General features: G+C 37.1%; 1 protein-coding gene across 3 annotated transcripts in view; it reads left to right on the top strand.

Moving 5' to 3' along the window:
* ITGAV (integrin subunit alpha V) overlaps positions 1-13,035 on the top strand; it is a 90,846-nt gene that overhangs the window by 10,114 nt on the left and 67,697 nt on the right. For 2 of the 3 annotated variants that reach the window (NM_002210.5, NM_001145000.3), the window contains exon 2: positions 1,852-1,982. In NM_002210.5, coding sequence (NP_002201.2) covers positions 1,852-1,982 — 131 coding nt within the window. Of the gene's footprint in view, positions 1-35; positions 213-1,851; positions 1,983-13,035 lie in introns of those variants that run through there. The other variant, NM_001144999.3, reaches the window with a different exon arrangement.

Raw genomic sequence — 13,035 nt, forward strand, 5'->3', positions numbered from 1 at the left:
ACTCCCGGCTTGTCCCCTCCTTCAGCCATACCTTTCTTTGTAGCTCCTGGAGATTCAATTCTTTCTTGCCAGGGTCTTTCTACCTCTGCCTCACATATTCCCTCCATCTCTTCATTCCACTTCCCTCATCCCCACCCCCCACTCCCCTCCATCCTCAATACACAAATGCTCCTAGGCACCCTCCTTCTGATCCTGTACATCTTAATGTTGTGGTGAGTTCCTTAGAAATAACTTCTCTGTCTACTTTATCTAAAAGAGAACTTTCTTCCCCATTCTTTAAAGATGATTTCCTTAGAGAGACTTTCCTTTACCTAGAGGAAATCTTTCCCCTCTCATCCTTAGAGATAACTGCTCTGTCTAAAGAAGGTCTCCTCTCCCTATTCCCAAAAATCTCTCTCAGCTAATTGTTTGCTTACTTGGTAGGACTTGTAATAGTAATTTATTTATTGGCTAGTTTCTTGCCTCTAAGGGAATGTAAGCTAAATTCCTCCATTAAGAGCAGGAATCAGCCAAGCACAGTGGCTCACGCCTGTAATCCCAGCACTTTGGGAGGCCAAGGCAGGCAGATCACCTGAGGTCAGGAGTTAGAGACCAGCCTGACCAATATGGTGAAACCCTGTCTCTACTAAAAATATAAAAATTAGCCAGGCGTGGTGGTGGGCGGCTGTAATCACAGTTACTCAGGAGACTGAGGCAGGAGAATCGCTTGAACTGGGGAGGTGGAGGATACAGTGAGCCAAGATCATGCCATTGCATTCTAGCCTGGGTGGCAAGAGCAAGACTCTGTCTCAAAAAAAAAAAAAAAGGCAGAAACCAAGGTTGTTTTAGTCATCTGGTATCTCTAGCACTTAGGACCTTGCTTTATGTAGAGGAAGCACTCACTTCATATCTTTTATGAATGAATAGAAAACAACAAAAGAAAACATCTCTTTAAAATTAAAAATTTTACTCCTGATTATTGTGTCTTTGGTTTATTTTACCTTAATGACAAAGAAATTGAATAGTGGTCCTAATCTTTGACCAAGAATTGATTAGATTAATCTTGTGATAAGAAATTTTTTATTAAATAGTCAACTATTAAAAAAAATTAAGCCTAGGCAATGTGGCGAGACCCCACCCCTACAGAAAATTTAAAAAAAAAATTAGCTTAGCATGGTGGCATATGCCTGTAGTTCTACCTGCTCAGGAGGCTGAGGTAGGAGGATCGCTTGAGCCAGGAGTTGGAGGTTGCAGTGAGTTATGATTGTACCACTGCACTCCAGCCTGGGTGACAAAGCAAAACTGTGTCTCTTAAAAAAAAAAAATAGAATAAAATAAAAATTACAGCAATATTTCTAATGCAAGATAATTTTTCTAAATGGGAAAATCATATTTATAATTATACTTTGGAATAATTTACTTAGAATATTTTTTTTTTTGCTCAACATTCAGAATATAGAAAATGCATAGTAATTCTCTCACACACGCACATGCACACACACACACACCAGAACACCAAAACAAAACTTTCCTGCCTCTAGGCAGCATACATTTTTAAGAGCTTTACTGAGATATGTGACATACAATAAACTGTACATATTTAAAGTGTATGATTGACCTGCATAAATTCCTAAATGAATGTAACCCTGAACTTGCCTTATAAAGTTATCAGGAAAAATAAACTATATCAAATAATGTATGCATGCAAGAGACTACCAAATGAATAATGAAGATTATGCCCTCAGTGAATAGCAAATGGTTTTAAAAAATATTTATAGATAATATCAAGAGAATGATTGCTCCTCATAAATCAGAAGATATTGCTTACACTTTGTTTCATTTAAACTTTGGTCTGCCGCTTTTGTATTTTAGCCGGATGTTTCTTCTCGTGGGAGCTCCCAAAGCAAACACCACCCAGCCTGGGATTGTGGAAGGAGGGCAGGTCCTCAAATGTGACTGGTCTTCTACCCGCCGGTGCCAGCCAATTGAATTTGATGCAACAGGTAAATTTTGATGCACAATTTTCTTTTCATTGATTTCATTTGATTTTTTTTTTGCAATTGGTTTAGTTTAAATGTAGCCATTTAATACAATTATATAGATAAGCACCTCAGCTTCACAGGGAAAATTATATAAAGACAAACGATTTATTATATGATTTTTTCCTACAATTTTTGTGGTAGATGAAAGTATTAAAAGTACGTTGTGTTTCCATTGGTTCAGATGTCTTCTGCCGTAAACTGATAATATCAACCCACAGAAATTTGGGGTAAACCTGTTAGGATGTTTTTGTACCTTTTCTGAGAATAGGGAGCTCATAGGCACAGAAAGGCATTCTGCTGCTTCTCTGTCAACCAAATTGAAGCATGACTCACTATTGTAGAAGATCAAATCTCTGATCATGAATATATCCAAGCCTTAGGCTGTGCTATAAAAAGCAGTTGAGGAGGCTGGGCATAGTGGCTCACGCCTGTAATCCCAGCACTTTGGGAGGCTGAGGCAGGCAGATCACGAGGTCAGGAGTTCCGGACCAGCCTGACCAACATGGTGAAACCCCATCTCTACTAAAAATACAAAAATTTGCTGGGTGTGGTGGCGCCTGCCTGTAATCCCAGCTACTTAGGAGGCTGAGGCAGGAGAATCTCTTGAACCTGGGAGGTGGAGGTTGCAGTGAGCTGAGATTGCGCCACTGCACTCTAGCCTGGGTGACAGAGGGAGACTCCATCTTAAAAAAAAAAAAAAAAAAAGCAGTGGAGGAATCTTTTGCATTCAGGTGGACTTAGGTGACGTAAACATTTATCAAGACTTTGTTGGGAAAATTATATATTATGGTTCTGATAACAGGAGAATTTTAGGGATAATTTTCAGTGTCAGAATTGTGGTAGCAAGGAGAAAAATAGCATGTGTAAGATGAGAAATAAGCTTTACATTTTTGCCAGTGAAATAAAATATGCAGAATTCTGTACGCATTTATATTGGTATATTTATATATATTTGTGAAATCTTAGATAGTCCTTAAGGAAATAGTGTGACATTCTTCTAGTACAATAGTCTTACAAAATTTTTTATTGATTCTGATTTGCTGGCTTTGACAGAGTGCTTTAAGATAAACCTGCAGAAAATTAATCCTTTTTTCCATATTGTTATTTCCTGCCAGTACTAAAATATATTGATTCTGGGAAATATGTCAGTGAAACAGGAATCATGATGTGGACTGTTCCATTTGACATTGTGATCAGTGCCAAAATGATTGTTAGTCATTAAGCCAGCTGTTAATGGGAACCAGATCACATGCACATGTTTTCAGGGTTTTTTTTTTCCATTTGAAATTATCTACATTAAACTCTGTTGTTGTATTTTTCCATATATGGCTAATACTTGGAAAACTCCAAGAGTTTGTAAAAAGGCCCAATTTTACCATAAATGGAGAAATACCTGTGACTCAGAATATGATAGTTTTAGGGCATTTATTGTCTAACAAAATATGAGAACTAATAAAAGGAAACCACAGTTTAGATTTTGATAGGTCGAACTCTTCAGATGTTTCTGTACTTAACACTGTAGGTTTTTGTGCATTGCAAGATAATTTATTGCTTCAGATAATTTTTTGTTTATTGAAAATAACATTTGCACATGGTAAAACAAATTTTAAAGAGTCTCAAAGGGTGTACAATGAAACATACAACTCACATCAGTCTTCTCAGAAGCAATCACTTTTTTTTTTTTTTCTTTTTGAGATAGGGTCTCGCTCTGTCACTCGGGCTGGAGTGCAGTGATGTGATCATGGCTCATTGCAGCCTCCACCTCCCAGACTCAAGTGATCTTCCCACCTCAGCCCCACGAGGAGTTGGGACTACAGAGGTGTGCCACCAGCCCGGCTAGTTTTTATGTATTTTTTTTTTTAAAGAGATGGGGTTTTGCCATATTGCCCAGGCTGGTCTCAAAACATCTGGGCTCAAGCAGTCTGCCCCCCTCAGTCTCCTGAAGTCCTGAGACTACAGGTTTGGCCCACTGTGCCCAGCATGAGGCAATTACTCTTAACAATTTCTTTTATCCTTCTAGAATTTTCTTACTTCTATATATGTATGCATCCTTGAAAAAAAGGCAACTCAAAAATCTGATGCCTCCCTGCACCGTTCTAACAATAGAAATCTCTTGTAGATATTTCCTTATCGGCATATGAATTTACCTCATTTTTTGTAAATCACTGATACTATTCTATTGTATATGTGTACTTAATTTGCTTAAATTATATTTTCTACTAGTGGATACTTTGGTTATTTCCAGTCTTTTATTATGAACACTGCTGTAGTGAAAAGGTTATACACAAGTATTTGTACAAATATGTGAATATATCTGTATGATAAAGGAGATTTTTGGATCAAAATGTATGTATATTTAAAGTTTTGTTAGGTATTGTATACTTTCCCTCACAGAAGTTTACACCCCTCCAGTTGTGTTTTGAAACCCATGGCAACCTCATTTATTAGCATATTTTTAAATCTTCGTCAGTTTTATAGGAGGAGATAGTATCTGTTATGTTAATTTGCATTTCTTTAATTAACAGTAAGACTGAGTGTCTTCATATTTGTTTGTAAGCCTTCAGTATCCCTTTTCCTGTGAGCTACTTTTAGTATATTTGCACATATTTTCTGTTAATTTGTGATTTTTAAAAAATGAATCTCAGTTTATGGCACTCCATCCTTTCAGTGTTTAGGCCAGAATCTGGAGCTGTGTTTGACATTGAATCTGTCAGTAGGTCAAAATTTAACTGCTTCTTATCAGTCCACTGCTAATATCCTGGTCCAAGCCACCACTGTCTCCCACCTGGACTATTGCCCTAGATTTCTGAATTAGGGCATTGCCAGGAACGAGATGGCACACTTAAATTGAGGTATTTTGACTATTTACAGAGGTCTGTGCAGGTACCTGGGGATTGATCGTATATCAGCACTAGTTAAAATGTGACCTCTAGGCCTGAAGGCAGCGATTACCAGAATCTGAAGACAGAATACTAGGTGTAGAGAGCCACGTGACAGGAGCTGTGGCTTTTTTCAGAGGGCAGGAGCCAGCCCAAAATGACCAGGGGATTAAAACAATGAGCTCACTCTGCTTCCTCCCTTTGATTCTCTGTGCTGTGCCTCATAAACAGTAGGCACATTCCCACTTCACCCTTGCCTGGGCTGTGTTTCCTGCCTGGAACATTCTTTCCCTAAATATCCACTGAGTATCTGCTTCACCATCATTTTGAGAATTGCTCAGATATTATCTTCTCAGTGATGACCATCTCATTTAAAATTCCAACTCCCTCTTCTCACCTTGTACTTCCATCCTCTTCTCTATTTTTCCCAGTAATACTTACATTGTTACATGTTATTTATTTGTTTTTAGTGAATGTCTCTTTCCCTCAATTAGAATGTAAGTTCCATGAGGACCGTTTTTTATCTTTGTTCATTGCTGAGACTCCAGGGCCTAAACATTGTCTGGTGCCCAGCACAAGTTAGTGCTGAATAAATTGAAGAGATGAATGTACGATAAGAGGTTTTTATATAGTAAGGAAATAACTAAAGTCCTTTAGTGGTTGTAGATGTGTATATATATATATATATATTTATATGTATAATACATATATTCTTATGTATATGTATAATATATTCTTATGTATATGTATAATACATATATTCTTATGTATATGTATAATACATATATTCTTATGTATATGTATAATACATATATTCTTATGTATATGTATATCTTTTGTCCCTGTTTATGATATTTCTGTAATCCTTTTGTATAACTTCTGAGACCTCCCCAGTGGAAAAACAATTAAGACTTCATTTTTTTACATTAGTATTTTTATTCAAATGGTGTTTATTTGAATGTAAGAGGACAACATAGATTTAAATAATCCAGTCAAGAAAATGTATATCTAAAATAGCCACATTAAACTATATGGTATTGAGTTTCAAGGAAGAAATGCTTATAGCTTATCGCATCCTGCTAAACTTTCTTTATGTCTCTCTCCCAAGGAACTCTTCATCCCATCTTAGCCCAAACATATAAGCATCCCTACAATACAAATGCCTTCTCTCTTTTTTATTATCTCAAGGGAGACAGAAGCTGAGCAGATATGTGGGGTTTCTGAAGGCAGCCTCCCTGGGGCTCAAACCCTGGTTCTGCCAGTTACCAGCTGTTGACGTTGCACGGGTTACTGTTAGGTTACCCTCATCTCCCTAGTGCAGTATTCTCATCAACCTGCTCCATGGGTGTGGATTACATCGCATGAGTTAATTTACATATAGGTGAAGACTTCTAAAGTGCTTAGGACAGGGATTGGCATGTTGAAATGGCTCAGTAAACATGAGCTGTTTCATGTCGCTATTCCTCCCTTTTGCCTTCTTAGAGACCCTCCCTATTCCTTCATTTGCTTCTGTATCCCTGCTACATTCTCCCTTTTCCTTTCTTCCCCAACTTTGAAGTGTGTTTAAAGTTTTTTCCCTGAAAAACTAATCAAAAACTGTTTTCCCTTGAACATGTATCTTTTCTTAGTCAGTCACATCTTTCTCTCTTCTTTCCTTTACATCCATGATTTTTGAATACATATTGTGTCTTCATCACTTGTCATGCTTCAATCCAATAGAATCACTGTTGGGTTGTGGCACCGACCCAACCCAGCAGTGATTCTAACTGCGATTGTTGACAGCAGCCTATTTGCCAGCTTCAGGGGATGCTTATGGTTCCTCATCTTTTTGGACTGCTCTTTTACAATTCACCCCATTGGCCATTCCCTCCTTAAAGTTTCTGCTCTTCGTCTGCTTGAAATGATCACATCCTTTTATCCCTCCTAAACTTGATACTATTGTTAAACCTCATGGTGTCATGAAAAGGAATAGGCCTTGTAGTTAGACAGACATGGGCTCAAATCTAGCCTCTGTCATTTTTTCTAACATTACCTTGGGAAAATTACCTGCCATTCTACATTGTATAATACATTCCAGGGGTGATCACGAAGAGTATAAATTGGTTAGTTTATTTACTTTATTGTGTTTCTGAGCCCAGAACAGATTTTAGTGCTTAAAAGTGCCCTGTCCTCATGTTTTTAATATTTGGGAAGTAATTTAGTTTATGAAACAGTCTCAAGAAAATTAGCTGTAATTATATGATGTGGGAGATATTACAACACTTTGTCATTATTCACATTTTTTTAAACTTCTGGGAAGACCTTTGGTATGCCCATGTGACTTTTTCTGGCCCATAAAACATAAGGAGAATTGTGTCATTTCTGGGTGGCAGGGTTTAAGAGCTGGGGCATTATTCTGCCCCTTCCCAGATGTCACAGGGAGTAGTGATAGTTGAAATGGTAGAACTTCTGTCAACCTGAGGCCTGTGGTAAGGAAGACATAAAGCTTAGACTCTTACTCATATGTGTGTGGACAAAAAAAAATCTATTGTTCTTTTTAACTACTTGAGATTTGGGGGATGCTTGTTACTATAGCATAATGGGAACTAAACTGAATAACACATATAGGGATATTAAAATGGAATATTATCAATAATCATCTGCTGGAAAATGGTTATTAAAACCACTTTCTATTCTGCATGCCAGTTTGGTCTTCCTTTAAGTTTCTAGTCTGACTTACTGAGTATCTGAGTGACTAAGTGACTAGGTATCATTGCTTATGCTAAAAATGGCCCCTGACGTTAAGTTGCATTTGGATTGGGAGAAACTATAAATAGACTAAGTACCTGATAGGGATGTCATAGCTTTGGGGTTCCTTGAGTATAGTGACACAAAACTGGCATGTGTTTTGTGGCGACTCTGGAAGCTATGGCTATGGAGTTGTTGCAAAAGATATCATTTCTGGGGGGCAAGAGGCTTTGAAGCCAGAATGACTCCTGCGTCTACCAGGTTTTGTTTCTTCATATCTGAGCCGTCACCTGGCGGGGCAAAGAGAAGTACTCTGGACAGCTGGGTGGACAGTTGTATAGGAAAGTTCATGTAAGGATTCTCACCAAAGAGGTATGTCTGGTTCTGTCCTGCTGGAAAGCTGTGGTTGTGTCCTATATCCTTGCAAGTAGATTGGTGCTTCATATGGCCTTTGATAGTTTTGTGAGTTTGAAAGTTTAGTTGAGCCTTAGGAAGCCGCAGATGATGTTGCATCAACATTTGAAGTCTGTAATTGTATGAAATATTCTAGGCTGGTTGCTGCATAGTCTGTTTCTCCTTTGAAAAAATAGAATAGTAACTATATTCCTTCCTACAAAAAAGAACAAACCTCAGCTAGCTCTAGAATCACAACAAAAATTTTACAGTAAAGTGCTTGGAGATACTACAAATGCTTGGCATTAAGTAATATTTTGTAAAATGGTCCTTTCCTCTCCCATTCACCTTTTAAGTCAGGTTCTGCCATACTGGTAGTCTTAGTGCACTGAGTACAGTTCTCTTTCTTATTAAGCTGAATTTTTTGTTGATTTTTTTTTTCTTACTGATGTTATAGTATGTTTGTTTTCCTGAGTAGACTATAAGCTATCTAAAGGCAGGGAACACATTTATTTCCACTCACCATTTATTCCACTTCCATATGGTGGGTTGCCTGTGTGTATGTTCCATGCAAGTTTTGGGCTCTTCATGAAAAGTAATAGAAATAGACTCTAGCTAAATTTAACAGAACAAGAATTTATTGGAAGGATGTTGGTAACTTAACAGTTATCTGAAAAAATAAGCAGGAACCAAGAGAAGCTAACAAAAGAACAACCAGTGGATTTTATTGTTGCTGGTACTGCTATTGCTGAATGTGGAGTAACACCATGAGAATAATTTCTTGTCCATCATGCCTCTTTGCATCATTTTATAGAGATTTAAAACTTTTATAGTAGTGTCTGTTTGGGTGAGTCTAAGTCTCATATCTGTGAAAGACCTGGAAAGCCTGTCTTATCTTACACAACTAAGAAGATTATGAGCTTGTAGAGGGAACTAAAAGGTATAGGATTAAAAGGGTGCCTTTTTCTCCTTTTGACTGGAAAACAGGGTAATAGGAAGGAAACATCCTTTGCAAATAACCCTTTTTATCTGTTGGGCTAATTAGTAATTCATGAACTAATTTTACTTTGTGTTTACCAGTGACGTCCCTGGATGTTAGATAGTATATCATTTATTAAAAGGCCATGTAACTGTTGCTTGTCACGTGCATTAAGACATACACTAGTAGCTAATTAAGAAAATCTGGATTTTGCTTTTAAGGTATCATAACACAACTTTCTTAGCTTTTAAAGAAGACAGATGGACACTTTAGATGTGCTTTCCTATCCTGTAACATGATTTTGGTGGTTTGAGTTGGGGGTAAGAGAGAGGCTTTCAAAAATGTATTTGAGAGATCAGTCTAAAAGTTATTTTACTGTAATTCTGAAAAGTAGACATAAATAGATTCATACCAAAATAAAGGAGGCATAACTGGAAAGTATCTAACTTTGCCTGGGGACTTTGAAGAAGGCTTCCTAGATTAGTTGGTGACATTTGAGCTAGCTAATGAAAAATGAGATGAAATTCCTTAGATGTCGAAGAGGGTTCTAGCTTGAGAAAACAGTATGTGTATGCTGAGTAAAAGAAGTTAGGGACTGATAATCAAGTAATTCCATGTGCCCTACATATATATATATGTATGTGGGCATAAGGGTTATACGTGTGTGGTGGTGGGGTTATGGTGTTGAGGGCACGATGAGGAATAAAACTGGAAGTAGCTGAGGAAAGATATAAATGAGTTTTTAAAAACATACTCTAAAGGTCTAGCCAAATAAATTTACCATTAAATCTTAATGCATATAGAGTATTATATTAGAGATAGAAGGATCTAGAGCCCCATAGGGACATCTTGGACTCCTGGTTCCTTGTAGATTTCACATGAACATTGCAGATGAACTAATACTTTCAGTACCCGTCTTATTAATTTTCCTAGTCACTTTTTTGGTAAAATGATAGAAGTTACATGAAATAATGAATATTATCATATACATATATTCAAAATATTATAGACACGACTTTAAAAAATGTGGAGTTTCATGATACAAAGTTTAATTTAGTAGAAGGTACAATCCAGGATAGAAAAGTTACTCGCTGCTTTGATTTTTGAATAATATTTATGCTTTAGTGAGCCTTCAGGAGTAAAAAGGAAACCTTAGTCCAAAATTTAGATTTGCAAAAGTTATCTCCAAAATGTGCTGCCCTGTTAATGTTCTTTCAAGATCTTGACTCTGGCTTGTCATCTTTATTTTTCTTTTTCCCCCAGATTTGCCTGATAGAATGTATAAACAAAGCCACAACTAAGATGTTTTAAAAAGTTTCTTATTTTATATGTTTATGCAATGATTGAAATATTACAACTTGCTTTTGCTTTTGAAATAGCAGTTGCCCTCTTGGATTTGTAAACCTTTTCATCCAGTGACTCTTCATAATTTATAGATTTTAAGCAAGGTCTGCATAATGACGGAATAGTTTTTTTCCCCTAAATTGAAAGAATAATGTGAACTTTGATATGTTGTGGAATTAGTGAAAATGAAACAGTTATTTTGGGTATGATTTCTTTGTTTTAGTCTAAGATGATTGATAGGTAGAAAACTCACAAGTGGATGATTTAGTTTAGGGATTAATGATCTATGTATTTTCAGTAGTAAAGTTATTCCAAACTATAATAGATTGCGATGCAAAACAATATTGAGACTATTCATGTAGCAAACCTAGACTGCTCATGTAGTCTGTTATCTGTTTTGCCTTCATGGCTGCATTCGTTTCCTGTTGCTATTGTCGTAAGTTACCAAAGATAACACATCTGTTATCTTTAGTTCTGGAGGTCAGATGTCCAAAATGGATTCACTGGGCCAAATCAAGGTGAGAAACTGTTTCCTTTCCATTTCCAGCTTGTAGAGCCATTGGCATTCTTTGTCTTGTGGTTCCTTCCCTTATCTTCAAAGCCAGCAATAGCTACCGGGGTCGTTCTCATGCTGCATTACTCGAACATTGACCCTACTGCCCCCCGACCCTTGTGATTATAATGAGTCCACCCAGCTAATCCAGACTTACCTCTTATTTCAAGGTCCTTAATTTGATCACTTCTGCAAAGTCCTTTTTGCCTTACAAGGGTCACATATTTATGTGTCAGTTTCTGGGAATTAGAAGTTGAATATCTCAGGGATATTATTCGCCTACCACAGTGCCCTTTTATGTATTTTCTTTTTTAATTATTTGTTATTTTTTTCTTTAAAAAAGAGAGTTGGGGTCTTGCTATGTTAGACCAGGCTGGTCTCAAACTCCTGGCCTCAAGTGATCCTCCCATCTCAGCCTCCCAAAGTGCTAGGAGTACAGGTGTAAGCCACAATTGATATTGGTTATACTGCAAGCTATGCTGAGGCAAGAACCATGCTTATATAAGTAGGCATTGCTGTCTCTCTTGTTCTTTTTCCCTTGGCAGCTTTGGTTATAAAGAATGCAAACTAGATTTAGAAGATGCAGGCTCAGATTCAGACTCTGATACTTATTAACTGTGACGTTGGGCAAGCACCATCCACAATTTCCCCATCTGTCAAATAAGCATAATACCTACCTCTCAGGGTTGCCATGTAGATCAAATGAGGTAATGTCAGTCAGGCATGGTGGCCTGGTGGCTCATGCCTGTAATCCCAGCACTTCGGGAGGCAGAGGCAGGAGGATTGCTTGAGTCCAGGAATTTGAGACCAGCCTGGGCAACATAATGAGATCCCATATCTGATTTTTTTTAAAAAAGGTAATGTCTATGAAGGTATTAGGTTGGTGCAAAAGTAATTGCGATTTTTGCCATTACTTTCAATGCTTTGTAAACAAGAAAGCATTATACCGGTGAAGAAAGGATTGTTTATGTTGTGCCCATACTAGAACTGTAGGGAACTAAATAAATACGGAAAAGGAAAGAAATAAAGATAATTGTGGATATTCTTAAATTGATTATAGCTTGATTTGCATTTTAACTTCTGTTATTGTGACATTTGAGAAAATCCTCTTCTTATAACATGTTTTCCTTTTCTAGGGAAGCAGATGCTACTGACAGTCTGAGCCTTGGCCATGTTTCTTAGTAATGTGTTTTTTTTTCCACCCAAAAAGATAGACTGCTAATGTACATTGAGAAAAGAGACCATGTATCACTGCCCTACGAAAGTCTCTTTGCTTAGAAATGAAGGCTTACCTACCTGTTTAATTTTTTTTTTTTTTTAAAGGAGAAGCTCCTACCTTTATATTCCAAATACAGTGAATGGATGTCACCTACCACTAACTGTTTCTGTCATACAGAAGGGCAGAGGTCAGATTACTCTTCTTCCTACCCAGAACAGCTTGCTGGAATGCTTGCCATTTGTTCCTAGAAGGGCCTGGCTGTAGGTTGAGAGCAAACCTTGGCTATGCCAGTTCTGTGGTCAAGAAAAATGCTGTGGAGTATTTTCTGGGTATAACTAGGCTTTGTATTTAATAGAGAATATAAAACATTTAGCTGTTTTCTAGCTTCTGCAGTACAATTTCCATCTCGTTGCAATTAAAACACTCAGGCAGACCCTAAACTAACTTCCTTTAAGTTTTACTTCCTCCTATTGATGAATTTTCTGTCTTCCAGAGTTGTGTCTAGGTATCTCTACAGTTGCAACTGTCCTGTAAACTAAAAAGTTAAAAAGAAAAGTAGTTTCCCTTCCCTTGTTAATACAAAACAAATTTATACTAAGGATTTTTTAAAAATAAAAATGTTTCTCCTGATATAATCTGTTATCCCCTGTTACAGAATTACACAGAGAGCTGGTAAGCAATTTAGAAATCTTTTAGTCTAATTCCTTTACTACTAACTGACTGACAGTCATACAGTTAGTCAGTATTTTAATGTTTTCAGTATTTTACTGAAACCAAACTCACAAGCTCTTTTAAAGTTTCTTCCTTTCCCTGCTCACTTTGACCTGACTCAACCCATTCTTTAGGACTTAACATGGGATTGGCTTTTTTTTTTTTTTTTTAATCCCCAGTAAAGAGGTTTTGTCTTAAAATGTTAGATG

The sequence above is a fragment of the Homo sapiens genome, chromosome 2 (assembly GCF_000001405.40).
Source record: "Homo sapiens chromosome 2, GRCh38.p14 Primary Assembly".
In the NCBI taxonomy this organism is placed as follows: domain Eukaryota; kingdom Metazoa; phylum Chordata; class Mammalia; order Primates; family Hominidae; genus Homo; species Homo sapiens.